Below are 27,445 nucleotides of genomic sequence, written 5' to 3' on the forward strand. Positions count from 1 at the left end.
GGATGTGTCTTCCTCTATTGACTGGAGAACTCCTATTTTTACTTTAAAACACCAACAAGATACCATCCCTCTTTGAAGGCTTCTTTGTCTCCCTTCAAGCAGAATCAGGTGGGCCCTCCCCCGTGCTCCTATAGCAATTCGTATAGAACTTCTAAACAAGAGTATTTCTTTGAAACTTCTGTCTTACCCATGAGTCTGCTGTTTTTCTCCGTAACATCTCCTTCAGCCAGACTCTCACTCCACCCTAACTGCCCAGGTTTCACCCCTCACCTGGACTGTTGCAAGAACATCTTCATGGGGTTTTCTATCCCTGCTTTGTCCCAGTAATGTAACTGCCACACCACAGTTAAAGGGAATCTTCTTAAACTACATATATGATCAAGTCATTTTCTTGATTAAAATCATTGGCTGGATCCCTAATGCTTTCCAGAATAAAGCCCAAATTCCTTAGCATGTGCTGCCTAAAAGGGGATCCCAAAGCACACGGACTGACAGGGTCTAGGGTCACTCTCAGACCCTGTAAGTCCAAGAGCTCTTGTAGCCCATGGGCTTTGTATCCATGGTCAGCCACTGTGATTTATTGCTTTGGGAGTTAGGAAGTCACTTTGGAAAGGCTCATGTTTCCTGGTTCCAGACTGCCCTGCCAGGCCCACTGAAGCAGCTGCTGGGAGGCCCCTGTGGGCAGCACTAGACAGGAGTGCTGCTCAACTGGAAATAAGTCCTGGGGCTGTTCTGACAGCTCTAATCCTAGCCAAGAGCTCTTGGAAGTCCACCTTGTAGGGCCAAGATGGGGCAGGAGCCTAGGTCCTTACCAGAGGGGCCACAGCTGCGGCTTGAATTCTGATTTGCAAGCTTTTTAAACTCCATGAGCTCCGCATGGTCCTTCTCATACGTCCTCTTTAGATTCTCCACATACTGCATCATCACTTCCGTTGCTTTCGACATGCGCTTTTCCTGCGGGGAAGGAGCGCATGAGTGCATGAGGCCATTGGAGGAAAGGCTCCGTTGGCACTTATTTGCTCTGACCTAGGGTCTGGGCTAGGAGAATCAAAAGGATACAGGGACAAGACTCTGCCCTCTGAAGAGTTTGCTGTCTGCCATGTGAGCTGAGAGGTGGACTCAGCACCTGCGCTTAGGGAGAATGAGAAAAGCACAGCCACCACACTGCAGGAGATGACAGGCAGAGGAGAGTTGTTTCTGCTTGCAGAGAACGGGTCAGGGGAGGCTTCATGGAGAGGGAATGCAGTGGATGTAGGATGTGAGCAGCATCTGGGCCCATAGACAAGGGCAGGAGGGACACAGCGTTCAGGCCAGGGAACTCCAAGAGGAGTCTAGAGGCAGGGAAGCACAGGGCTTATATGTAGATGAGGTTTTATCCTCTGAATAAGAGTCCTCTGGAGAGTGAAGAAAGGCACGACGACAAATTATGCTGGGACAATCGACATAATAAACCAGGGCTGTCCAGAAAGCCCAGACACTGCAGGTCCTCCTACCTATGTAGGGATCAGCAAGCAGTTGGGTCTATTTGTAAGTCTGGGTTGTGAAGGACCTCGAATGCTAGACAAAGGAATTTGAACTTATTCTGAAGGAAAAGGGAAGCCATTGAATATCTCCCTTAAAGTAAGAGAGTAATATAATCAGGTCATAGGTAGAGATGGGACTCAAGGGAGTGAGACTGGTGGCAGTGAGGGCAGCAGGTAAAAACAGGATGAAGCCTGACCTGGCCCAGTGGAGCCAGAGAGGAAGGCAAAGACTGAGACATAGCAGCCAAGACGAGGGAGCCATTTGGAGAAGGGAGCAGATGGCGTGAGTGACAGGTGGGCTGAGGCACAAGTTTGGGAAGCCTGCACACAATGAGAACAATTTCTCTCTGCTCATACCCCAGTTAGATCCCTCAGAGGATCTAGCTCAGGCCCTGCCTGGCCACAGAGGGACACACCCAGTGGCTTCGCAGGAACAGGTCCCACAGTCATGCGTGGCTGAGACCAGCTACTTCCCTAGAGTCCTCCCGTGTTGCTGCTCCCAGCTGGAGTGACTTCCTGGGCACCACTGCTGAGTCAGATGTCCTTGTCCTGAAGGACACAGGGTGGGATGGCCCAGCGACAGGTCTTTCTTTTATTTAATAGGAACTGCTCAGGGCTGCACCACCCCAGGAACCTCCTCTCATGTAACCAGAGCAGCAGGACATAGATTCATGTCATAGCAACATAATAACAACATCCAAATGCTTTACAAGTACGGCAGCAACCCTCTATGGCAGATACTGTGACCATCCTCATTTTATACTTGAAAAGACTGAAGCAGAGAAACCTCAGTAAGGGGCCCAAGGTCACACAGCGAATGAAGGTTGGAGCCAGGATTAGAACTCGGGCAATGTGCTCCTGCTACAACATGGGGGGCCGGGGCGGGGCTCTGTATGCTTCAGGACTTCAAAGTGGCCAAGAGAGAGCCAGACCTGGGCCTGTGCCCCGCTCCGCCACTAACGCTTTTACTTTCTGAGACTCTGCATCTTCATCTGGGAGACAGGATATTTATAGGGTTGCTGGGTGGATTTAATGAGACAAAGCAGGTTTTCCTAAAGTATGTTTTGTCAAATACTAGCTCCATGGGAGTTGAACAGGTATTTTTTGAGAAAAATAAAATGGAGAGCTGTGGGGGGAATTCTTCAGTTAAATACGTTTGGGAACTATGTAGGTAAAGTGAACCAGCCTTCTCCACCACAGGAGTTACCAAAGCCTTGATTAGGCCAATGTGTTAGAAATTTCCAAGAAAGAAAGATAGTATGCAGTAGTCCCCAAACTTGTGCGTCCACAGAAACCTTTTTCCACAAAGCACCTTGAGGGTTCAGTGATCTGCCAAAAATACTCTGAATAATACTGCAATGATGTGCATAGGATGCCTGGCCCAGAGGAAGCCACCTCTAAGTGGTATCTGTAGTTGCCGCTGCTTGGGTGATTGCTCTACTTTACGTAGGTGGAACAGAGTTGGCAAGACCGGGGGCTGGAGAGACTCACCTGGCGGACGGCGCCTACCACCTCAGCTCGGCTGGAGAGGCGGGCAGCCAGGCGGTGCAGGACAGCGATGTCCTCCAGCAACTTCTGGTAGGTTTCCCGGTGCTCACAGTGGTGCCAGAGTGAAGCTGAGGACTGAACAGGAGTAGGAGCATCACCTGGGGTCCTCAAATAATGTTATGGACTAAATCAGCAGTCCCCAACCTTTTCGGCCTCAGGGACTGGTTTGGAAGACAATTTTTCCACAAACCTGGTGGGGGCGATGGTTTGGGGATGAAACTCTTCCACCTCTGATCATTAGATTCTTATAAGGAGGGTACAACCTAGATCCTTCGCATGCACAGTTTACAATAGGGTTCGTGACCCTATGGGAATCGAATGCTGCTGCTGATCTGACAGGCGGCGGAGCTCAGGAGGTCATGCTCTCAGGCAGCTCACCTCCTACTGTGCAGCCTGGTTCCTAACAGGCCATGGTTTGGTACCGGTTTGCGGCCTGGCCCAGGGGATGCGGACCACTGGGCTAAATGTCTGTGCCCCCCACAAAGTCATCTGCTGACTTTTGGGGGGACATATCCTAACTCCTCAATGTGATAGTGAAGTGGGGCCTGGGCGAGGTGATTAGGTGAGGAGAGTGGAGCCCCACGAATGGAATTAGTGCTCTTATAAAAGGGACCCCAGAGAGTTCTGTTCTCTTTCCACCATGTAAGATATAATGGAAAGGTGGTAGTCTGCAAGCCAGAGATGGCCCTCACCAGAACCCGACCATGCTGGTGCCCTGATCTTGGCCTTCCAGCCTCCAGAACTATGAGAAATAAATGTTTGCCATTTAAGCCACCCAGTCTAAGGCCCTTTGTTACAGCAATTCAAACTGACTAAGACACACACCAAGCCTAGACTCAGCTCTCATGAAAGCAGCTCTGGGCCCCATCCAGGCTGAGAGAAGTGGCCTCTGCAGGGCCTGGGCCACAGTTTCTTCTGGTGCTTGGAGAAGCCCAATGTGAACACGCTATCCCTGGCGCCTGAAAGTAGGAGTCACACCCAGGCCACCCTGCCCCCTTCTGAGAAGCTCCCAAGGCTTTGGAGGACCTGTCCACAGCCCTGAGGGAACCAGGCCTTTGGGATCTCTGCCTCAGTTCCCCCCAACTCTCTGAGGAACACTGTCAGAGTCTTGGCTCAATTTTTCACTTCAGGAGACTATACTTGGTACCTGAGAGAAGCATGACACCCTGTATGGCCCTTGGGGACAGTCTCTGCTCCAGGGATTCCTCACATCAGGCTCCACAATTACCGTAATGGAAGCTTTGAAGTTTTCCAGTTCTTTCTCAGTGTTCTCCTCTGTCAGGTTGCGTTCCCTTTCAGCCTGGTTAATTCTAGATTCCAGAGTGTAGCTGTCATTTCTAAAGGCCAAGGACAGTTGCACAAACACGTTCTGTTGGGAACAAGGGTGTGAGAGAGGTGCTGGGAGGAGTTACTGCAGAGGACAAGGCTGCAGCTGTGCTCCTTGCACGAGCGTTTTGCAACGGCCCCTGGAACAGCCGCCAAAGCACCAAAGCAGCCATGTGCAAGGGAAACGCTCACTTCACAGGAAACCACAAAAAAGATGGTAAAGCAGGGACCAAGGTCCACGCTAGGCCCTTCCCAGAACCGGAGGTCCAAATGTATTCTACCAAAAAATAAGAAGAGAATAACACTTTGCTTTTTCCTGAATTTTAAGAAAATAACATCCTGTATCTGGGTTTAGATAAACTCAGGCCAGTACAGCTAATTGTGTAAGCATCTGGATTTATGCTGGGATTTATTGCATGAGGGGTTTTGGAGATTTTGCAGGAAAATACTGTATTGAAAGAAACTCCATGTGAGATTTAAGCATTGTTGACGTAAAGCAAACTTCAATCAGCATCTAGCCCGAGTATTCCAAATCCTGTATTGATAGAAGCTTTAAGTAGCTGCCAGGAGATTAAATAAGGCCAGGTATGATTCTGTTCGGTTAAGCTTTCTGGAATAAATAAATGTTTCATGCTAAAATTGCAGCCTGCATGAACAGACTTTGAAAAGATAATATTGGTCATACATGGAATTCCCAGAACAGTAGGAAACTACTAGGGAGAAGAAATAGACAGATGGACCTCACTCAGGAAGGAAGCAATGGTCTTCAATTTTACAGCCATCATCTGCCCTGAGTGGTAGCAGATTTATACCCTGCAGGGTTAGTAACCACAGGGGCTTCTGAAGTTCATGTAACATGGCCCATGGAAGGCAGTCATCTCCAGAAGAATTGAAGGTACAGAATTGACCCAATGATGATGATGAAGGCAATATTGAAAACTACTCCTTATTGAGCATCTACTATATGCCAGCACTGCTTTTCATTCTACAAATTCATGTAATCTCACAATAACCCTCTGGGGTGGGAACTGTTATACCTGTTTATGGGTAAAGAGGCCAAGACCAGAACGGTCATTAACTTGTTCAAGGTGACACGGAGTAACGGAGCCAGGATTTAACCTCAGACTGTCTGATTTGAAAGCCTGTTTTATTTCCACCATGCCGAGAGCTGTGTCCATATACATCTGCGGTCAGCATTTGGACATTAAACAAACCGCCCATGGCCCATCTTCACAAATGTCAGTGGGTAGGCTTAGAGCTCATAGCCCAGTGATAGAAATTTTCTGCCTTACCCGGCCTTGGTCAAGTCTATGAATAATGCTCAATGCTTAATTTTCTATACCTTGATTATCCCCTTAACAGCAGTGTGACACAATGAGTTCTGAATTCAGTGAGAACACTTGGATCTAGGTCTTGGTTTTGCCAACTACAGTATCTAGAAACTTGGTGTGGTTATTTACTCACTCAGTTTTCTCCTTTGTGCTGATTCCTGCTCCACCTGCTTTTCAGAGCTGCTGGTTAGGATCAGCTGAAAGGATGGCTATGCGTGTGTTATAGACTGCAAGTGCAATGCCTGTGTGCAAGTTATAGATACTACCTGTGGTAGATACTTCATACTGTCTGTCTTCCTCTGCTTATCTGGTCCACATCAGCAGTTCTCATTGTCTCACCTCTGATAAGTTCTCTTTGTCCGCTACAGAATGAAATGCAGATTCCCCTCAGCTCACTCACAACCCCGCTGGGACAAGGAGGCCCCAGTGAGGAAACCGGAAGGCTGGATTGCTGACAGCACAGCTTCCCGGCTCCGCTGAGCTGGCATTCTTGTAGCTGAAACCCTGAGGAGGCCAGCCCCCTTTCCCACTAAACTAAAGCTTAGAACTTGAAATCTGACCATTTTTCAGTAATTTTGAAATAAATTTGATTCAATTCTGCAGCCTCCCAGCTGGTTTTGTGTATCTAAGTCGTACATTTAAAGAATATAAACAATCCTTACAGGAATGTAAAATTTCCAACTACCTTCTCCCTTTTGCCCAAATTTGTCAAAATCTTCCATGAACGGACGTGGGAATGGGGATCTCATGGTTCAAGAGGGCTGGTCATGAATGTTCACATTACCCCACAGTCACTCTTTCTCATTTTTGTCTAAAAATGTCAGAGCTAGAGTCTGGAGGAAGAAATGTTTTGAATAAGCCCAGTCAAGCACGGGCACTAAATTTCATAACACACTTGAGTCACTTACCTCAACTTCCTTTTCAGTGAGTGGAGGGGCACTGTGAAAAAGAAAACACACAATTGAACTGTGTGCAACCTAGTCAATAGACCCAAAGGTGACTCTGAATGACCAGCAGACCATGTGTTTCCAGGGGTGGAGTAAGCTGTGTTGGTGAGAAGGAAAAGATGCAATGTCCCCTTGCCTGTGCTCTGTCACCTGTGAGATACTGACTCTTACGGCACCATGACTATCTCTGTGACTTTGGACAAGTTATTTAATCTCTCTAAGCCCCAGCGTGCTCATCTGCAAAATGGGAATCATATCACCTACCTTGCAGAGGTATTATAAGCACTATATGTACTCATGTATGTATGTGTATGTGTTTGTATGCATAAATATATGGCATCCACACTCAGTGGGCTCTCGGGAAATGTGACCTTGAACTCATAGCCTTGCTGTGAGAAATAAGAAAATGCATGTGATAAGGACTTTATAACTCATACACATCTAAGTTGCCATTATAATTGTTCTGGGGATATCCACCCAGGTCTGCAAAGCCTCACCCTCCTCTGTCTCTGAGGGCTGTGACAAAGGTGCATGCGGGCCAGAGAATAAATGGTAGGAGAGAGTGACCAGGGTTCTTCTCCACAGCAAGAACTTCTGATGGCTAGAATCACAGAGTGGCAAGAAAGCCCCAGCCGACACAGAGGCATCCTTTTGAGCAGCTCCTCGTCTGTGGCGTTCCCACAGCCAGGGCTCTCCAGCTATAGGCAGTCCCTGCATCTGCATGTCCACTCGATGCTGCTGTGGCTGCTGCTCTTGCTGGTAACTAAAGCTGGCCCCATCTGAAGTCCACACAATGTAAATAATGCACAGGCCCTTTCCTGTGCTGGGGCGGGGAGGCCTGGGAGGGGTCCTACCAGCGTCACAGAACTTGGCAACAGAGCATGCCATCAATAAGCTTCTCAGGAAACACAGCTTCCTCTCTTGAACGGGTGTGAAGGGACCCCAAGAGCAAAGGTAGGGGTCAGCCATCTCTGCAGGGGGCTGGTTCTCACCCCTAGGGAATGATATGAGTGCCTTCCTGTCAGGATGAGAAGACCCCATGGCCATGAAGTCAGCGGAGTCCAGAACACGGGACAAACAGCTGCAGGGATGTTTGACACTTACAGTCCTTGTCACAACCCCACCCATCAGGCCCTTGCCTTAACTGTCATCTACAGCATACACATATGATTTAAATGATTTGGCAAAACTTGCCAAGTTTGTTTCTGACTCCTGGGTTTGTTGGGATATTATGTGAAATGCACATATTTTCATAAATTATAAACCAAACATTTTTCTATTTCAATGACTCACATTCTGCTTTTTTGCTGTAGAACACACCCACCTTATTTTTATTTTATTTATTTATTTTTGGGGACAGGGTCTCGCTCTGCTGCCCAGGCTGGAGTGCAGTGGCAGGATCACTGCAGAGGTGGCTTACTACAGCCTTGAACTCCTGGGTTCAAGCAATCCTCCTGCCTCAGCCACCAGAGTAGCTGGGACTATGGGTGCATGCCACTATACCTGGCTAATTTTTTATTTTTATTTTTTGTAGAAACAGAGTTTCACTCTGTTGTCCAGGCTGGTCTTAAACTCTTGGCCTCAAGTGATCCTCTTGCCTTGAGCCTACAAAGTGCTAGGATTACAGGTGTATGAGCCACCACACCCAGTTAGAACATACCCACCTTAAAAAAAAAGTGGGGGTCTGGGGGGAAACTCTGAGGACTCAGAGAAGTATGATTTAGGCAGAGAAGCCACATGGTATGTCTGGTGTCTGATGCAGATAACTGTGCCTTACAAATGGGCATAGGTACCCGGGGGCAGAGCTGTGAGCCTCTAAAAGGACACAGCATCTTTTTTAAGTGACTATTTGTATATCTTCTCTGAAGAAATGTCTATTTAAATCCTTTCCCCATTTTGAAAAATTGGTTATTTATCTTTTTATTGAGTGTAAGCCTTCTTTATATGCTCTAGAAACAAGTTCCTTTTCAGATAAGTGATTTGCAAATATTTCATTCTGTGGGTTGCCTTTCACTTTCTTGACACTGTTTGCAGCACAGAAGTTTTTATTTTGAGGAAGTACTATTTATTTTTAAAATCTTGTCTCTTGTGTTTTTGGTGCCATATCTAAAAAACCCAAAGACATGAAGATTTACTTATATTTTTTCTTTGAAGAGTCTTATAGTGTTCTCTCTGACATTTAGGTCTATGATCCATTATGAGTTAATTTGTGTGTTTTGTGTGAGGTAGGGGTCCAACTTCACTCTTTTGTATGTGGCTATCCAGTTGTCCCAGCACCGTTTGTTAAAATTACAATTTTTTTCCTCTGTAAATCTTACCAAAACCCTTGCATGAGTGGCTTTTTGTCATTTGTTATTTGCACATCTCAAATTATTACTTTATCACAGAGGCCTTTCCTTGACCTCCTACCCAATGCCCCACTCTCATGTCATTCTCTAGATGTGCCCTATTTTATGGTCTTTCTACCAACTTTACTCTTTCAAATCATTCATTTGGTTACTTAAATGTTATTTGTGCTTTGGGAGGCCGAGGTAGAAGGATCACTTGAGGCCAGGAGTTCAAGATTATCTTGGGCAACATAGCAAGACCCTATCTCTACAAAAAAATATTTGAAAACTTAACTAGTCATGGGTAAATGGTGTATCTGGGATTGAAACCCATGTCTCCTGGCTCAAAGCCCATTCTCTGCTGCCATGAGCTTCTGGTGACCCTTATGCCTTCATGAACTGTGCTCACCTAAGAACCCCACCTGGCCTTTGAGTTGAAAACACCCAGCCTGGCCTTTCATTATTCTTTTTGTTTCGAATGCATTATCCCTATCTAGACAATTGGACTTTGGCCCTTCTGGGTTCAAGAATTAAGACTGGTGTTCCTCTGTGTCCCACCTAGAATCCAACACAGGGGCCACTCGGTACAGGGCCTTCTGTAACCCACATCCTGATTTTACCTTCCAGGGAGACTCCTGTGGACCCGCAGTTTGCGCAGCAGCACATCAGAAATATTAGGCATGACATCTAAGCCACTCTTTGACTCTTCTTCCTCAATAGCTGGGGAGAGTTCAGAAGGAAGCCCTGAAAAAAAAGTGCTTACTTATAAAATGTCTCTTTGAAATCACAGTAGTACTGTTGGCAGCTAGCTTCAGGAGCTTTGACATTTATAAGTATCTAGTTCTATGTTAAGGGCTTTTTAATTGTTATCTTACATTATTCTCACAATGAGCTAGAACTTAGTCATCCCATTTCACATGTAGATAAGCCAAGGCTCAGCAAGGTTAAGTCACTTGCTCAAGATTACAGAACTAGCAAATGACATGGCCAGACCTCAAGGTCTACCTGCTTCAAATGTTATGTTCTTCCCTTTGCTTCCCACAGTATTAAGCTGGCAATTGGAAGCTGGTTGGCTCTTTGGCTATAATGTTTGGGAAAAAAACCTGCTCCTTGGCAGGCTTCTCAGGAGACCTGTTGTTCAATTATTCCTCCTCGGATAAATTAAAATGTTCTATATTATGTATCCTACTTAGAAATTAACATCTGATTCCATACCCCATAGATAAGAGATTTTCCAGAGTAAACCTAAGGTTGCTAGATCTTTTACAGATCTCAGAAACATAAATGCCTCCTAGTCAACAGAGACAATGAACAGCTTTTTGTTTTTTAAACTTCTAAAACTATCTTGGGTCTGTGCTTTGAAGACAGAATGAACAAACCAAGTATTCTCTTTTCCATAAATCTTTCTCCTGTTTGAAAACAGCTCCTGTGCCTCTCTAAAGCTTCTCTTCTCCAGACTCTAGCTCCATTTTTCCAACAAGCTCACTGTGCTCCACTGTGGCCCATGGTCTCTAGATACCATCCCATTCCTGCACACATTCTGGTTTGTTGCTGTTACAGAGGCCCAGATGTTCTCTAACAAGATCTTAGCACAGGAAGACTTTGGTAAATGTCCCTGGCATTGATGTTTGTTATTCATGCAGCATAGATTTTGTGTGCCTGACTACGGGCTTACAGTACACTTAGCATTAAGCAAAACTCTCAACCTCTTTAGTTGACCCAAATCAGTTATCCTCATCCTGTATAATGGTTACTTTCCATTTGCATGTAGAACTTCATATTTATCCATGTTTTACTCTTTCTCCTGGATTTTAACCTGGTAGCTTTCCAATCTGCTCAATCATTTTCCAGGATCCTAGGCTAGGCTAGAGACCAGGACTATAGGCATAGTTGTAGCCACCTGAAGAGTTAAGACTGGGAATCATGTGAATAGAAAGAAGTCTCACCAAAGGAGACCATGAAGAGACAAGAGGCTATCTAGTTTGGCTCAAGGTAAAATATGTTTAAATACTTTGAGCTTGCCAGTAAGAGAATGGTAGGCATGGATTCCTTGGTACTCAAGGTAGCCAAGTAAGCTGGAGGATCATCTGTCAGAGATGGGTCAGTCAGCAATTCTTCTTTGGATATGAGATTCAACTAGAAGTTCTCTTAGCTACCTGTTACCTCTCTGGTTCTGTCCTGGTATTTATAGCTCTCTGACAAGGTTTCTGTGGTAAACCTTGTGTCACCCCTGGCATCATTCTACCTTTATGTATGTATCCCTACCACACTCAACAGAGAGTCAACTGAGTAGCAAGCTCCTGAGATATCTATAGGATGATCGAAACATATGAGGTCTAATAATCAAGTGAAATGCATATCAGGGTTTTTGCCTAGAAAAGTTTCCCAAAATGGTGCTTGAAGAGTAATGCCAGAATTGGTGGATTCTAGGAACCAACCACCTTCCTCCTGAATTCAACCAAATTAACAACAAAAAATTTCAGAACAAATAAAAAATACACAAGAAACTCTAAGATACAAGAAAAGGCAATAGTCTTTAAAAATAGTGACTAGAGAAAGAATAAAAATTACTAGGAATAAATGTAGAGCTTCCACCCATGATAACCCTTTCTTCTTCTCCAAAGAATCAGTACTGAAAGGAAGATGGGAGAGAAAAAATTCTTACAAAGAGTTCAATACCACAGAATAGAGAGGGAAAGGGATGGAGGGGGCAAGTAGGCAGTTGTCAGAGGAGATTCAGAAAGTTTCCCTAGAATAGAAGGTTCTCCATTCCATCTTACCAGCATTTCGAAGAGAGAAAAAACTGCCTGGGCTGCCTGCCATTTTGCTTTTCTTACTGATGAGAAGAAGAGAGGAAAGGCAGAATGATCGCACAGAACACAGAGTGGATTTTCTTGAATGATATGAAGGGATTTACAAGGAAGGAAGACTAACGGTAAAGTAAATAAAACACGTCCCTCTGAAGGAGTGAATGGCAGGAGACACATGGAAAGCCCCAACCACCATGTTCTCCCCCGACTCCTGAAAAACAGTGGCTAAACTCCTTGGATTTGCCGTTTTTTCCTTCCTTTCTTAGCAGAGGAGTAGCCGTTGGGAAGCATTGGGTCAAGTCTGGAAAATAAACCTACGGACAGCTTGTCTCTACAATTCCAACCTAAATTGGTGAAACAATCTGAAACCCACTACTAACCACCTCCAAAGGAATAAGATATGCCCCCGATTTGGTATAACAAACTCACGTTTTGGACTATGAACAGAGTTACGGAAAAAGAGAAGAAACCAATTCTACAAACAGCTCTATCTTAACTTCCCCTTTTCCCCACCACCTAAGCAGTAACAAAACAAACACAAAATATACAATCCTCAACTAAAGCACTAAAGGGAAGGCTAAGAGATCCCAGCTAAGGTAGGAAGGAGTCAACAAAAACTAACCTACAATACAATATATCTAGGGAAAGGGAATCAAGGTAGAAATATACAAATCAGAAAAAAATAAAAGGAAAACAGATGGCATGGCAACTATACAAAAATACTATAGACAAAAGAGGAAGGAAGGTAGAAAGGAAGGAAAAGGGAAATGTGCAAGAGACAGATGTCAGGATGGAAACATAGTTGCAAGAAACACATCAAAAAATGCAAAAGTATGCTTCTGTGCAAAATATATACCATAAATACTTTGACTCTAGAAAAAATAACCTGAAAAAAAATTAAGAAATTAGAGTTGGGATGAGAAGATCATGCAAAGATGGAAGATGATTGCTATTTAAGGAAACAAATTAAAGACCAAAATAAAAGGACTAATCAAGAAATTGGGAAATATACAACCAACCAATTTATTGGAAAAATGAAGGAATAAAGCAGATATAGCTTCAAGCTGAATTAGAGGAGGGTGGTAGAGATTGAGTAATCATAACGAATGCAAAGAAGGAAAGAAAGATTGAAGTATATGGAGATAAAATAATGGACCTGGAGTTGAGACTCTGATGACCCATCTATGCATTATGTTGTCTCCGAAGCAGTGAACAAAACAAATGGAACAAAGGACATATTCAAAGATATAACAGAAGAAAAATGTTCCTCACTTGAGGGGAAAGTTGAACCCTTCAGGTTGACAGACCGCATCATGTTAAAAAATATATTTAAATGCTTCATACAAAAAAAAAAAAAAAAACCCAGACATCTACATGGGAAAGTGAAGATTAAGAGGTGCTGGAAATCAGCTGGTCCCAGCTTTCTCCATAACTTTAAATACAGGGGAGCAACATCTACGCAGTTCCAAGGAAAACAGTCAACCAAGAATTTTGTAACCACACAAGCTGTCCTTCAAGAAAAGACAAAATTTTCAAATGTGATAGAACTCAGGGAACACAGCACCTCTGAACTCTTTCAGGAAAATTGTTGGAAAACAAAATCCAGCTAAACAAGACATAAATCGAATAAATTTGGGAAAGGGACCAGTGGTGAACATGAAATCTTTTTACATTTAAGTCTAAGGCTAAATAACTGTGGAAACCATGGTTACAGAATATGGAATGTAAATGTTATAACCTTAATGATGTACAAAGAAGAATTCAAGATGTGTAGAGGTAGAAATGGAAATGTAGGAAGAAATGTGAAGGTGGGAAGATATTCGGCCATTCTCATCTTTTCCTGCAGGAAGTCAGTAGGTACCATTGTAGTGACTACATGTTCTTATCTTCCGTATTCTTGATGTTCTGTCACTTGGTGCCTTAATCCTGGAGTGACAGCCCCTCTCAAGGCTAGCTAATTCCTAGAAACAACTCTCCTTCAAGTGTGTCTTTGAAATACAAACCAGCCAATCCAGAACCCACACCTGTAAACATCACCTTTATCAAATTCTCACGCACCAAGCCAATACTCCCCCTAAATCACCCCAGGGCCAGTACCTGACAACTACGGGCCACCCTATAGCCTAGGTCCTGCCAAAATTATTCAAACTAGCCAACCCTAAACATACTGAGGATACCTACCCTGCCTCTACCTTTCCTTTCCAAGAAAACCCCAGTAAAGGCTTGGGGCCATCTCTCCCCTCACCACTTCTGCCTTCTGACCCACCCTAGCCCTTCCCCAAGGGGCTCTGTATGATGTGCCACACATCCTGCTATTAGGGATCTGTGAGTATAAACCTATTCCTTCATGAGAATCATTTGTGGGTCTCTGTGTCATACCATACCTGATTAAAACAAATGCCAGGTCCAAAGTTTAGATTAAATTTAAAACCTATAATGCAAAAAAACTACCTCATAATTTATAGATTTCATGCCATCCCCATCAAGCTACCAATGACTTTCTTCACAGAATTGGAAAAAATACTTTAAAGTTCATGTGGAACCGAAAAAGAGCCTGCATTGCCAAGACAATCCTAAGCCAAAAGAACAAAGCTGGAGGCATCATGCTGTCTGACTTCAAACTATACTACAAGGCTACAGTAACCAAAACAGCATGGTACTGGTACCAAAACAGAGATATAGACCAATGGAACAGAACAAAGCCCTCAGAAATAATACCACACATCTACAACCATCTGATCTTTGACAAACCTGACAAAAACAAGAAATGGGGAAAGGAGTCCTATTTAATAAATGGTGCTGGGAAAACTGGCTAGCCATATGTAGAAAGCTGAAACTGGATTCCTTCCTTACACCTTATACAAAAATTAATTCAAGATCAATTAAGGACTTCAATGTTAGACCTAAAACCTAAAAACCCTAGAAGAAAACCTAGGCAATACCATTCAGGACATAGGCATGGGCAAGGACTTCATGTCTAAAACACCAAAAGCAATGGCAACAAAAGCCAAAATTGACAAATGGGATCTAATTAAAGAGCTTCTGCACAGCAAAAGAAACTACCATCAGAGTGAACAGGCAACCTACAGAACAGGAGAAAATTTTTGCAATCTACTCATCTGACAAAGGGCTAATATCCAGAATCTACAAAGAACTCAAACAAATTTACAGGAAAAAAACAACCCCATCAAAAAGTGGGCAAAGGATATGAACAGACACTTCTCAAAAGAAGACATTTATGCAGCCAACAGACACATGGAAAAATGCTCATTATCACTGGCCATCAGAGAAATGCAAATCAAAACCACAATGAGATACCATCTCACCCCAGTTAGAATGGCGATCATTAAAAAGTCAGGAAACAACAGGTGCTGGAGAGGATATGGAGAAATAGGAACACTTTTACACTGTTGGTGGGACTATGAACTGGTTCAACCATTGTGGAAGACAGTGTGGCGATTCCTCAAGGATCTAGAAGTAGAAATACCATTTGACCCAGCCATCCCATTACTGGATATATACCCAAAGGATTATAAATCATGCTGTTATAAAGACACATGCACACGTATGTTTATTGCAGCACTATTCACAATAGCAAAGACTTGGAACCAACCCAAATGTCCATCAATGATAGACTGGATTAAGAAAATGTGGCACATATACACCATGGAATACTATGCACCCATAAAAAAGGATGAGTTCATGTCCTTTGTAGGGACATGGATGAAGCTGGAAACCATCATTCTCAGCAAACTATCGCAGGGACAAAAAACCAAACACCGCATGTTCTCACTCATAGGCGGGAATTGAACAATGAGAACACTTGGACACAGGAAGGGGAACATCACACACCGGGGCCTGTGGTGGGGTCCGGGGGATGGGGGAGGGATAGCATTAGCAGATATACCTAATGTAAATGACGAGTTAATGGGTGCAGCACACCAACATGGCACATGTATACATATGTAACAAACTTGCACGTTGTGCACATGTACCTTAGAACTTAAAGTATAATAATAAAAAAAAGTATATTACTAAGTGAAAAAAGCAAGGTTTGGAACACCTTGTATAATATACTACGATTTATGTTTAAAAAATCCACTTTTGGCTGGGCGCGGTGGCTCTCGCCTGTAATCTCAGCCCTTTGGGAGGCCGAGGCGGGCGGATCACGAGGTCAGGACATCGAGACCATCCTGGCTAACGTGGTGAAACCCTAGCTCTACTAAAAATACAAAAAATTAGCCCGGCGTGGTGGCGAGCGCCTGTAGTCCCGGCCGAGGAAGGAGAGCGGCGTGAATCCGGGAGGTGGAGCTTGCAGTGAGCTGAGATGGCACCACTGCACTCCAGCCTGGGTGACAGTGAGACTCCATCTCAAAAAAAAAAAAAAAGAAAAATCCACTTTTACATATATGTCTATATTTAGAAATGCTTGGAATATATCTAGAAGTTACACTAAAACATAGTGACAGTGGTTGCCTCTGCTACTGGGGGACAGAGATGTAATGAGACTTACTTTTTCCTATGTCTCATTTTGTACTTTTTGAATTTTGTACTATGGACATGATTATTTATAAAAATTGAATTAAAACTCATACCAAAGCAAAAACAAAAAACAAAAAACAAAAAACAAAAAACTACCTCAGTAACTCCAAACCCTTTATGCATTTCATAATACATTTTTTATACTTTTAGAAACCAATTTCTCTTCTTTGGAGGAAGCAGTTACCAAAATTCAGCAAGTCTTATAGTTTCACTTCAAGTTCAATTAAATTCTAATAGTTTTAATTTCAAACAAGTATATCTAGTATAATCTCCCTCTTTTTCCCTTCCTCCTTCTGTATTAGTGGGGAAGGAGGTGTTTAGTGTAAGCTATTTTTACTTTCTTCCTTGTATTTTTCACTATTGGTTGAATTTTTAGATATGAACATAAGCCACTTTCAACAAAAAGTAATAAATTTATTTTCAAATATATCTCCCAGGACTAGCTCATTCCAATGAAAATATTTGTTTCTGACCATGTCAGGGACTTGGAAAAATTACTTTTGGAGCTCTGAAAGATGCTCTGAGTCCCAGGATGGTTCCTAAAAGTCAAAGCTGCTAGTTGGGGATAAACTTTTTTTTACCTCTTTCTTCTCAGGGAGGCCTCTTTCCTGCCCAAGACCTGAGGCTCTGAGTCTAGACTGGGGGTTTTGGAAGGACTGTCCATTCGATGTACTTCTCTGCCTCAGCCTACGTGTCCCTCAAAATCCAGGTCCAGATAGCCAACTACCTTCTAGACGTTGCCACCTGGTTAAGGAGAATAAAAATCATTTCAAGAGCCACCATTTACTGAACATCAACTATGCAGTAGATACACTTTGTCATTTCTTACAATAGTACTGCAAATAAAAAATAGCTTAAACACCTCCTTCCCCACAAATACAGAAGGAGCAAGGGAAAAAGAGGGAGATTATACTAGATATACTTTTTTGAAATTAAAAGTATTAGAGTTTAATTGAACTTGAAGTGAAGTGAAACTGTAGGACCTGCTGAATTTTGGTAATTGCTTCCTCCAAAGAAGAGAAATTGGTTTCTGAAAGTACAAAGAATGTATTATGAAATGCATTTTCTGGAGAAACTGAAGCTCAGCTGAGTTAAAGTGATTTACTAGGGTCCAGCTTATCAGCAGTACAGCCAGAATGCAAAACCAGGTTTGTCTGTTGCATTCAAGCTGCTTTCCGTGGGCATTTGACATGTCCAAACTCAAATTCACTGTCTTCCTTCTCAAGCAAACTCCTCCTCCTGTCTCACAATTCATCACCCTCACAACCATGCAGACAGGTGCCTGGTGGTATTCCTGGTCTGCCTCTCAACTCCATCTCCTCATCAAGTCCTGACAAGCTGATCTCCAATAGCTGTCAAACTATCCTGTCCACATTTACTACCACCTCATTACCTCTCACCAGGCTATTTCCCTATCCTTTTACCTGGTGTCTCCCTGTCTCTAGCCTCTGCTGTTTCAGGCCAGCTCTCACAATCTGTCCAGAAGAATTATTCTAAAATATAGATTTGATCCTGATGCTTCCTTACCTGCAGGCTTCTCTTTCCAAAGTGTCCTAAATGAAATTCAAACTCATTAATTGGCCTTCAAAGCCTTCAATTTCCTTGGTCTCAGCCCACTGTTCCCACCTTGTTGCCCATCTCTCTGGGACGTGTAGCTCACACTTAGTTCACATGACATTCCTTCTGTTCCTGAAGTATGCCAAGCACTAGAAGATGCCTACATGCTTTTGCTTCTGCTGTCCCCCTGCTTGGGATGACTTTCTCTTCCCCAGCTCAAGGTGGCTCCTCCTGAAAACCTTCCCTGACTCAACCCCACTGAGCTAGCTGCTTCTTCCTCTTTGTTCCCAGGTACTTTATGGCCTGTTAAAGTTTTATCACAATTTATCGTAGTGACTTTGTCTATTCTTATGTTTCCTCTCCTAGACAGTGAGCTTATTCGTTCATACATTTGTTTAATGTTTATTGAGTGTTTACTATGTCCCTGGCAATGAGCTGGGAGCTAAGGATACAATGCTAAGCAAAACTGACATGCCACATCCTCTGGAGCTCATTATTCAGGGGAACAGAGATTAATCAGAGAAACATCCAAACAATTTCACACTGAGAGATTTTACAAAGGAGAAGGGATCCGAAGGTACCAGCAAACCCTTCCCAAGAAAAGTGACATGAGCAGATATCTAAAGATTGAGTTGGGAGTTCATTAGGCAAAGAGGGAGAGAGGAAGAACATTCCATGCAGAAGACAGAATGTGCCATGCGTAAGAAGAGGAAAGAATGAGCTGCCGAAGGCAGGCCAAAATATTGTGAGTGAGAGTGAGTGTGGCCCTAGAATATGCTGGGGAAGTGGGTGGGGTTAACTATTCAGGGCCTTGTAGGTTCTACTGAGGATTCAAGTGCTCTTCCTAAGAGCAGAATGAAGCCTCTGAAGATGCTGAAACAGATTTGCCTTCTAGAGATCCCTGCGGCTGCTGTGTTGGCCATGGTGTGAGCTGGGTTGGGGGTTGGGAGTGCAGGGAGAGGGGACCAGGTTGCAGGCTGTTGAGTTAGCCAAGGGGACTGATAATGGTAGCTGGGACAAGGCCTTCTCCCTGATGGTGGGGCCTGAACCCTTTTCACTTAATGCATCCCCAGCACACAGCCTAAGAACTGGCCCACAGTCAGTCTCACATATTTGGCTTGAAATAACCTGCAACTGATCAAAGATCAAAACAGCATACAATATAGTTCCTGAGAAGGGAACTGATTGGGTTGTTGGAAAGACTAGATGCAGCACAGAAATGAGCCTCCCAGTCCTCACAAACTGAAGGAGAGCCAAAATTCTTCAGACTCCAGAATGTTCTGATAAGTATCTTTTCCCATTTCTCAAAGGAACAGCCAACAACCATCATAAGAGACTGGATTTTTCCCCATGAGTTCATATGCAGGGCTGTATTTAGTGCCTATAAATACAATCTGAGCCAGCTCTCATAAAATGCTCCCAAAGCCTTTTATCCTGGGTATGGGAGGGGACGGGGCTCTTTGATGGGGCTTTCAGAATATAAGAAAAGAAAGTCACAAGTCTGCAAGTATTCATTAAACACGGAGGGTTGCCCACCACATCTCTAGCACTGTGGAGCACAGTGTACAAGAATATCCCATTTGGTTGGCAAGATAGAGTTCTACAACCTAAATGACAGAAATGAAAATGTATGCCAGGTTCCTGCTGGAATAAAGACCAGTATCACATGCAAACATTACAGCAGCTTAGTGAAGTAGGTACTGTTATTAACCTCCTTTAAAAGATGAACAAACTGAAGCGTGGAGAGAATTAGAACCTTGACCAAGGCTATGCAGCTGGTAAGTGATGAAGTCTGAGCTCTTAAGCATCCAGACCCTAGAACTGAGAGAAAATGAGAGGGAGTGTATATTGTTGGACACTGACCATGGTTAATTTTATTTTTAAAATTTGGTGCTTATAGGAGTCACATTCATTTGCCTGATAATTTTACTTCTAAGATCCATCTTATGCCCTATTAATATTGGATAATAAAGTTTTGCTGTAGGTAGTGGATGTCTAAATTGGTATAATTTTGTAAGCTAATCTGGCAGTGTGCACATATACATTTAAAAGTAAATACTTTTAACCAATCAATTGCAAGTCTAGAATAGTAGCCCATGGAAAAAACAGATTTCTATAAAGATCTATGTAAGATAGTATTCATTATAACAGTGTTTTTAATAGAGAAAAAAAGTGGAAATATTATTACAACTGGGGAGAAGTAGTATTTTTATAATGATTGAAATAATAGAAGACTTCTCAAAGGGAAAGATAGGCAAACATGATTATGTAAAATCTTTACAATTCCTCTAAAATAACACAAAACGTATTAAAAAGCAAAAAAAAGATTGAATGAAAATATATTAAAATACAGCCCCCCCCAAAAGAAAGAAAGCCAATTAAGGGCTAATATCTATAATGTATCAAGTTTACATATATTACCAACAAAAACCAAACAAATCAACGAAAAACCCCAGACCTAAATGGGTACACGGGCAAAGATGTAAGAAGTTAAGTCACCCAGTAAGAAAACAAAGTGACTATTTTAACATTTTAAGTTTGAGCTTCCTAGCAAATTAATTGAAATAATAATGAAATTTCACACTAATAATAATAAACTTAAAACAATGACAATTATTGATTATTCTTACTATATTCTGAATAATAAGGAGCAGAAGCAAACACCAGCACGGGTAATGCGTAAGAGAAAGATGTCCATTCAGTCTTTGTCAGTAGCGTTATTCATTGTAAGTAATTTGGGAAATGCAAATGTTTCTACTCTTTAACCTTGTGATTCTCAAGTCTGAACACTTATCTCAAGGGAATGATTTAAAGGAAGAAAAAAGAACAACTAACGGTCCATAATTGTTTATACTAGCATTGTTAATCCTAGTTCAAAGAACAATAGATAGGTCAATACAAGAGGAACTATGCACCCATTAAATCATAACTGAGGAGAAATTGCTGAGTATAAAATAACAAGTAAAAAAAAGAAGCTGTATCTATTCATCAAATCAACTGAAAACATTATAAATATGGGCAAATATTGCAAAGAAGAAAAATTGTTAGTTTTTCAGAATTGATGGGGTTGTGGGTGAAATTTTAAAGTGTTTTTTCCAGTGTTTTAAATATGCTTTAGTAAATTTAAAATTATAATTAGAGAAGTATATGCTGCATTTTCAAAAGATCTCTTTAAAGATGGTTATTTAAAATATTTTGCCCTTGGGAAAAAACACTGTTTGAAATTTTACTTCTGGGAACCTTCTTATTAATGCTGAATAAATAGGTAGGTGTAAGTTACTACAGTTCAGACCAGGGGCTTCCACCATTGTTAGTGACATCCTGGACACATTCACCCAAGAATCCATAGGGCTCTTATGCTGAGACTGGCCCCCAGCAGCTTGAAGCGGGGCAAGGATTTTCAAATGGTGCTCTGTGAAGCCTGGGTCCCTGGAGGTACCTTGGGCCCACAGTCTCAGAAGATGAAGGATCCAAGCCCTTCTATCCCCTTCAACCAGAGCAGCCCCATTTGCATCTCCCCAACACGCTGGCCTCCTACAGATCAGCTTGTCTGAAATGTTGTGCAGCTTAAAAAAAGTTTTAAAACTGTTCATGAGATGGCCAAACCATGAGATTTGGAGTCAGGAGATCCTCGGGCCTCAGTTTCCTCAACTATAAGAGCAAGAATCCCTGCCCCTCTTAGCTGACTGGGAAGATTACATAAAATCAGAGGTAACAAAATGGTTTATACTGTGGAAAATGCTATGGGAAGTTTATTAATTAAGATTGAATTAAAAGGACTAGGTGACACGGATGAACCTTGAAGATGTTTTACTAATTGAAATGAGCTCGACACAAAAGGACAGATACTGTATGATTCCATTTCTAGGAGGGATCTAGAAGAGTCAAATACATAGAGACAGAAAGTAGAAGGTGATCACCAGGGGCTGGGGAGGGAGGGAATAAAGAGTTATTGTTTTAATGAGTATGGCATTTCAGTTTGCAATGATGAAAACGTTCTAGAAATGGATAGTGGTGATGGCTTCATAATATGAATGTACTTACTGCCACTGAACTGTATACTTAAAAATGGCTAAAATGGCAAGTTGAATGTTATATATATTTACAATAAAAAATAGTCCCCCACCCCCTCTGAAAAAGGGAGTACTATATAGAGTAAAATACAAAAGAAAGTCAAGAAAGTAGAAGATTGCAGAGCTGGTGGGACTAACCCACTGCTTTAAGGAACAGGTACCATATGACTCAGAGAGGAGGGAGATAGCCCAGCAGGAGGGAGATGCCGCGGGGACAGAGGCACAGAGGCTAGAGGGTGAGTGGCCACAGAGAAGAGGCTCTGGGAAGAGGGAAGAGCCAGGAGCCTGGCCTGTTGGAAACACTCATCTCTCTCCACTCACCCATGCCTCTTTGCCCACCTCATGGCACTATGGTTACAGTTACAAATTATTTTCATGTACCTATCTCAATGCTCCTGCCACATCTTTTTAAAAATGTTTCTTTTGAGACAGGATCTCACTCTGTACCCCAGAGCGAGACCCTAGAGTACAGTGGCACGATCACAGTTCACTGCAGCCTTGACCTCCCAGGCTCAAGCGATCCTCCCACCTCAGCCTCCCGGGTAGCTGGGACTACAGGTGTGTGTCACCATGCCCAGGTAATTTTTGTATTTTTTGTAGAGATGGGGCTTCGTCATGCTGCCCAGACTGGTCTCAAAGTCCTCAGCTCAAGCAAGCCACCTCCCTCCCAAAGTGCTGGGATTACAGGTTCACCTAGCCCCCTGCCACATCTCATACAATTTCATTCGTTCATTCAACAAATACCTATGCAGGCCCTAGTAGTGCCAGGCATTGTTGTAAGCAGTGGACACACACACACACACACACACACACTCCTGCCCTTGGGGGCTTCTTCTCTAGGGATAATAGCTGACACCTAGATAACACCTGTCATGTACCAGGTATTGTTTTAGGTACTTTATAGATATTAGCTGCTTTAATCTCCATAATCACCTAAGAAGGCAGGTACTGTTCTTAGCCTGGTTTTACATGCCCAGGGAGGTTGAATAGCTTGCCCAGGTCACCTGAGTGGTAGCAGGGCTTACAGTTCCAACTCGTGGTGGGGCTCGACATACTCATGCAGGAGAATGGGGCCGAGGAAGGGTGTTGGGGGCACTGGGAGCAGGGCTGGACTTGCCCAGCTAGATCTAGAGGGGTCAGAACCCTACTGAGAACATCGGCAGAGGTGAGTGCAGAGAGGGAGGCAGTGCGGGGGCTGAAGCCTCATTTTCAGAACCATTTTCCCCGCCATGGTTCTGGCAGAAGGTGGACAGGGAACCAGAGGCTTGGAGGAAGGGGCCTGCAGCTACCCAGCAGGGCAGGGCTGGGGTATGGACTTTGTGGTGACAGCAGATTAGTAAGCAAGAGATGGCCGTGATGCCTTGAAAAGAGGAACTCTTCAGTTTGGGCAGCTTCCTGGGTGTACGAGGAAAAGGAAGTGTCAAAAGTTCAGGCCTGAGGCACCCTTCCAGGCCCACTAGATGCCAGCATGGCTTAGGGAGGGCTGACAGCGAGGCCTGGGGGCTGGTTGGAAGGAGGCAGGTTTGGAGGTGCTGAGCGGGCAGAAGACACAATCGGATTCATTCATTCACCAGCAAATGTTTCCTGAGGAAGACACAGGAAGTCTTGTGTTTACACATTCACCTTCCTTGATCTGGCACAGACAAATCAGCACTCGCTGAGACAGCATCTGCCCCAACCCCACCTACCTTTTTCCTGCTCAGCTGCTTCACTAAGGTCTGGAAGCTTGAGCCCCACTAAGTTCTGATTTCTCATCAGGATGTGCTCCTTTGTGGTAAAAGAAAGAGATAACAATTTCAGATGATGACACTGGGCTGGGCTGTTCTCTTGGCTCTGTCTATGGTTCTGCGACCACTATCTTAGGTGGGAAAGCGGGGCAGCCTGAGAGGTGGGTGGGCAGGCATGGCATGGTGAGGCCTGAGAAGCACCAGGAAATAGTTCCTCTCCCAGTCCGTGAAGGTGCCTGAAACGCCACTGTCAGCACCACTTTCCATGGGTCAGGGACTACCCTTGGCATGGTCTTTTTAAACAAGTCTGTGGGCTTCAGGGTAAATGAACTGCTTGGCCTCACTGTGGCTGAGGTTTGCAAAGGACACACAGGGGCAGAACTAAGGGCTCTGGGACAGGAGGGTCCCCTGGGTGTGTATGGCGCTGCTCCTGGAAACAGCTTTGGCGATCTCATGGCTGGCTGGATCTTCCTGCCCTGTCATTCCGGGCAGTGACTGCTCACTTCCAGGAGCTGCGATTGCCCCACACACTCAGGTCATCAATGGCCTTTTATGGCACCTCTTGAGTTTTTAAACTCTCCAGAAAAGTGAGGCCTGAGAATTGCTGGCTTAGGGCCTCAGCTGGCAGAGCCCGGGGAGAGATGGGATGTGGCCCAAGTGGGCTCACACCTGCTCTAAGCCAATTAGCACCAGACCAAGGACCTGAGTGGAGGCACCTGGCAGAGCTCCTTGCCCCTGTGACTTATGGATCTTCAGTCTGCTGTGTGGCAGAGGGCACTTGGGAATGGTTTGTCCCCCGAGAAGGGAGGAAAGGAAGGGGCCAGCAGAGGGTGCTCATGATCCAAGTGGAAGTCATGGTCAAGGACCCTTTACCCATTTGGTTAGCAAGCCAGAGGCCCACAGCCCATCAGCTTCAGCACACTGGAGTCGGGTAGGGGCTGGGCACTCAGGTGCCAGGGTAGTGGTTAGTGACATGGGGCCTCCAGGTTCCCTGTAACTTCTCTGGGTGGGCGAAATCTGCAGGAGTGTAGGGAGTGAGGAGGCTCTGATAACCAGAGGCCCATGAAGGCAAATCCCTGGCTATCGGCCCCTTGGCTCCAACTTCCGCTAGAGATCCGGGACTGTGGCAACTCCTCTGGGCCCTGTGCTGTTTGATCCGCTAGTTAGTTGGGTCTTTCTGACTAGGAGGAGTTTTGTGTGTAAAATGTTAACATCAGCAGCCACGCCCCAGCTCCCCTGTGCCTCCAGTTCAGAGCATCATGAAGGTATCTGAATAGGATAGTGGCCAGCATTGGAATGTGTCCCTGCCAGCACACAAATCCCCTCAATTGTGCTTGAGTGCTATCGGGCACCTTCTTTTCTTCCCTGCCCCACATTTCCCTCTGTAGAGGAGCCAGGAGAAGCCTCCTGCTCTGAGGGTGCTGGGCCTCACTCTGTGGAATCCAGGTGCCTTGGTTTATATTCCAAGTGGGCCTTCTGGAGGAGACAGGACTGGTCAGAATTGCTTTGTCCTGTTATCTGGTCTCTATCTCTGGATGCCCCCAATCATACCCTGCATAGGGTGGCAACCCCACAGGAGACCGCTGTGCCTGGTTTGATGGCCAACAGAAGCTGAGGGGACACCATGGGCACTGGAAGAAACTCACCATGGGCGGAGCAGCCTTCACACTTGCAGATGGACTTAAAGCTTTTGTTAACAGGCATCAGGAAGGAAGGCTTGGGGGCATCACAAAGGAAATCACTATTTCACCCTTGCTAGCTAATCCTAGGCATGACTGGGCACTCCATCAAGGGATTCCTGTTTATGAGCCACTGACTCCGGTTGGAGGAGGAAAGCAGCCCAGGACTGAGGGGCCCACATGTCCCTCCACACGTCTGCCTTCCCCTGAGATGTGGCTTTGTGTGGCAACTAGATTTTAGACTGAGCTCTGCCTGGTAACTGGCATAAAAAAGCACCTAAAACTGGTATTTAGGAAAGAGATGCCACATAAATAGGCCTGACTTCTCAGAGTGGGAAAATTTACGCCCTCACAAGGCCCAAGTCCAGGCCAGAGCTGCCCTGGCCAGGGGCCCAGACTCAGCCCTGAGGTCTTCAGCCCAGGGAGTACCTGGAGTACACACTCTGCCCAACTGGCCCCCAGGAACCCACCTCTCGGAGCTTGGTCAGTTTCTGCATCCGCACGGGCTGCACTTGTATCTGAAAGTCTTTGAGACCAGGGGCCTTGGCCAGCTTGCCGCCGGCCTTGCCTGCAAAACGCTTTTCTTCCTCTGCCAGTGGCAGCTTGGCAAGCACTTTCTGCAGCCGGGGGCCAGGTTCTTCAGGGCCACTGTCCCAGGAGAGCCCTCGCAGCAGCGGGGGCCGGGACACAGTGGGTGGAAGCTCAGCTTTGGAGCCAGCCTCGGGCCCCATCGGCTCTCCAGCTGGGCCTCTCCCCTGGGAGGCTGGGGGACCCACTCCTGCCGCATCCTGGGTTGGACTTCTCGGCAGAGGGCTGCCCTCCCAGCCCGTTTTCAAGAGCTGCTTCCCCAGCTCGCTCTCCACGGGGCCAGGCTGAGGGCTGTTCAGGGCCATTTTCCCACTGCTGTTTGTAACAGGAGCTAGGCCTTTGGGTGTGGTCTCGGGGTACTGGAGGGGATCGAAGTTTTCCTTTTGTTCTATTGCAATCTCTTTGGACTTCTCAACTGGAGGAGGACGAGGAGCCAGCCTGCCCTGAGACACTTTCCTCTGGTCATTCTGCTTCCTGTCAGCTAGCCCTTTGGGGACGTTCTGAAAAAGACAAGGTAGAGCTGGAACCCTCGGGGGCAGGTTGAGGGGAAACAGGTGAGGCCACTTCTGCTGTGGAGTCTCTGCCCCCACACACCTTGCCAAGGGGCCCATTTGTATAAGTGTGTATGGGGTATGAGTGGACGATGTGGAAGGAGAGGGCTTCTGCCCGAGGTTTGTCAAACAGACAGGAAAATGGAACCTGCAATCCAAAACCAGCCAAGAATTTCCCAAGGGATAGGAGCTGAGGAAAACTGAATAGAAGGCAGCTTTGGCCCTAACTCAGTTGCCCCAGATCTAGCCTTGGTGCTGCTTAGCAAGGCCCTTAACTCTTAGGGACCCAGGTTTGTGAACCCTCTGAAATTATGTATGTGTATGTCTGTGTGTGGAGGGGTGTTTTTCTAGGAAAAACATCCACAGCTTTCAACAATTTCTCAGAGTTCCATGATCCAAAGAGGTTAGGGATCATTGGATGGGGTGATTCTTGCAAAGGTGATGTCTTCCTGCTCAGAAGCTCTAAGATTCTGCAGTGTTAGTTTACTTTGTTCATTCCCCAAGGGAAACCTGGGCCGTGAGCAGCACGTGGGTCTGGGGGTCTGTGTGGCTGCCTCGTGTGTGCTGAGACTCTTCCAGAGGACTGTATCCCAGACCCAGTTCCAGGTGACACTAAATTCTACTGCTGCCCTTGAAACACTGAGCACGTGGGCCCCTCGATGTGAGCAGGGTGGGGCGCTTCTGTTGCTCATCAACAAAGATGAGGTTTTCCCGGCTTCCCCAGACAGAATCCCAGGCAGGGGCTGGCGCTTTCCTGCCCTTTTCACTGGAGCTGACAGGAGCCACAGTCTCACCTGGCCTGGAGGTCCCCCTTGTCTCCAACCAGCAGCCTGACTGGGGGTCAGCGCTGTGAGTATTGCCTCCACGGAGTTCACCCCCCTGAATCCTGCCTCCCCACCCCTCCACCTTAGACTTC

The 27,445-nt window shown here is 45.0% G+C and overlaps 1 protein-coding gene across 6 annotated transcripts in view, besides 5 other annotated features; it reads right to left on the bottom strand.

Annotated features, from left to right (window-relative positions):
* The window catches only part of IRAG1 (inositol 1,4,5-triphosphate receptor associated 1), a 120,661-nt gene that overhangs the window by 27,011 nt on the left and 66,205 nt on the right, over window positions 1-27,445 (bottom strand). For 5 of the 6 annotated variants that reach the window (NM_001206881.2, NM_130385.4, NM_001100163.3 and 2 more), the window contains 7 exons: window positions 25,861-26,478; window positions 23,673-23,751; window positions 9,623-9,746; window positions 6,637-6,667; window positions 4,300-4,440; window positions 3,015-3,146; window positions 813-954 (listed from right to left, as the gene is read on the bottom strand). In NM_001206881.2, coding sequence (NP_001193810.1) covers window positions 813-954; window positions 3,015-3,146; window positions 4,300-4,440; window positions 6,637-6,667; window positions 9,623-9,746; window positions 23,673-23,751; window positions 25,861-26,283 — 1,072 coding nt within the window. In that variant the 5' untranslated portion in view covers window positions 26,284-26,478. The remainder of the gene's footprint in view (window positions 1-812; window positions 955-3,014; window positions 3,147-4,299; window positions 4,441-6,636; window positions 6,668-9,622; window positions 9,747-23,672; window positions 23,752-25,860; window positions 26,479-27,445) is intronic. The other variant, NM_001206880.2, reaches the window with a different exon arrangement.
* Window positions 6,017-6,311: an enhancer, noted in NCBI's record as "tiled region #8950; HepG2 Activating non-DNase unmatched - State 4:PromP, and K562 Activating DNase unmatched - State 8:EnhW". NCBI's record gives its function as "activates a minimal TATA promoter and a strong SV40 promoter by Sharpr-MPRA in HepG2 and K562 cells {active_cell/tissue: HepG2 | K562}" and the evidence as "EXISTENCE:reporter gene assay evidence [ECO:0000049][PMID:27701403]".
* Window positions 6,017-6,331: a biological region, named in NCBI's record as "Sharpr-MPRA regulatory regions 8950 and 14430".
* Window positions 6,037-6,331: an enhancer, noted in NCBI's record as "tiled region #14430; HepG2 Activating non-DNase unmatched - State 4:PromP, and K562 Activating DNase unmatched - State 8:EnhW". NCBI's record gives its function as "activates a minimal TATA promoter and a strong SV40 promoter by Sharpr-MPRA in HepG2 and K562 cells {active_cell/tissue: HepG2 | K562}" and the evidence as "EXISTENCE:reporter gene assay evidence [ECO:0000049][PMID:27701403]".
* Window positions 17,413-17,613: a silencer, noted in NCBI's record as "peak1195 fragment used in MPRA reporter construct". NCBI's record gives its function as "represses an SCP1 promoter by STARR-seq MPRAs in K562 erythroleukemia cells {active_cell/tissue: K562}" and the evidence as "EXISTENCE:reporter gene assay evidence [ECO:0000049][PMID:32103011]".
* Window positions 23,350-23,479: an enhancer, noted in NCBI's record as "active region_4439". NCBI's record gives its function as "activates an Ori minimal core promoter by ATAC-STARR-seq in GM12878 lymphoblastoid cells {active_cell/tissue: GM12878}" and the evidence as "EXISTENCE:reporter gene assay evidence [ECO:0000049][PMID:35858748]".

This window comes from Homo sapiens, chromosome 11 (genome assembly GCF_000001405.40).
Source record: "Homo sapiens chromosome 11, GRCh38.p14 Primary Assembly".
NCBI lineage: Eukaryota > Metazoa > Chordata > Mammalia > Primates > Hominidae > Homo > Homo sapiens.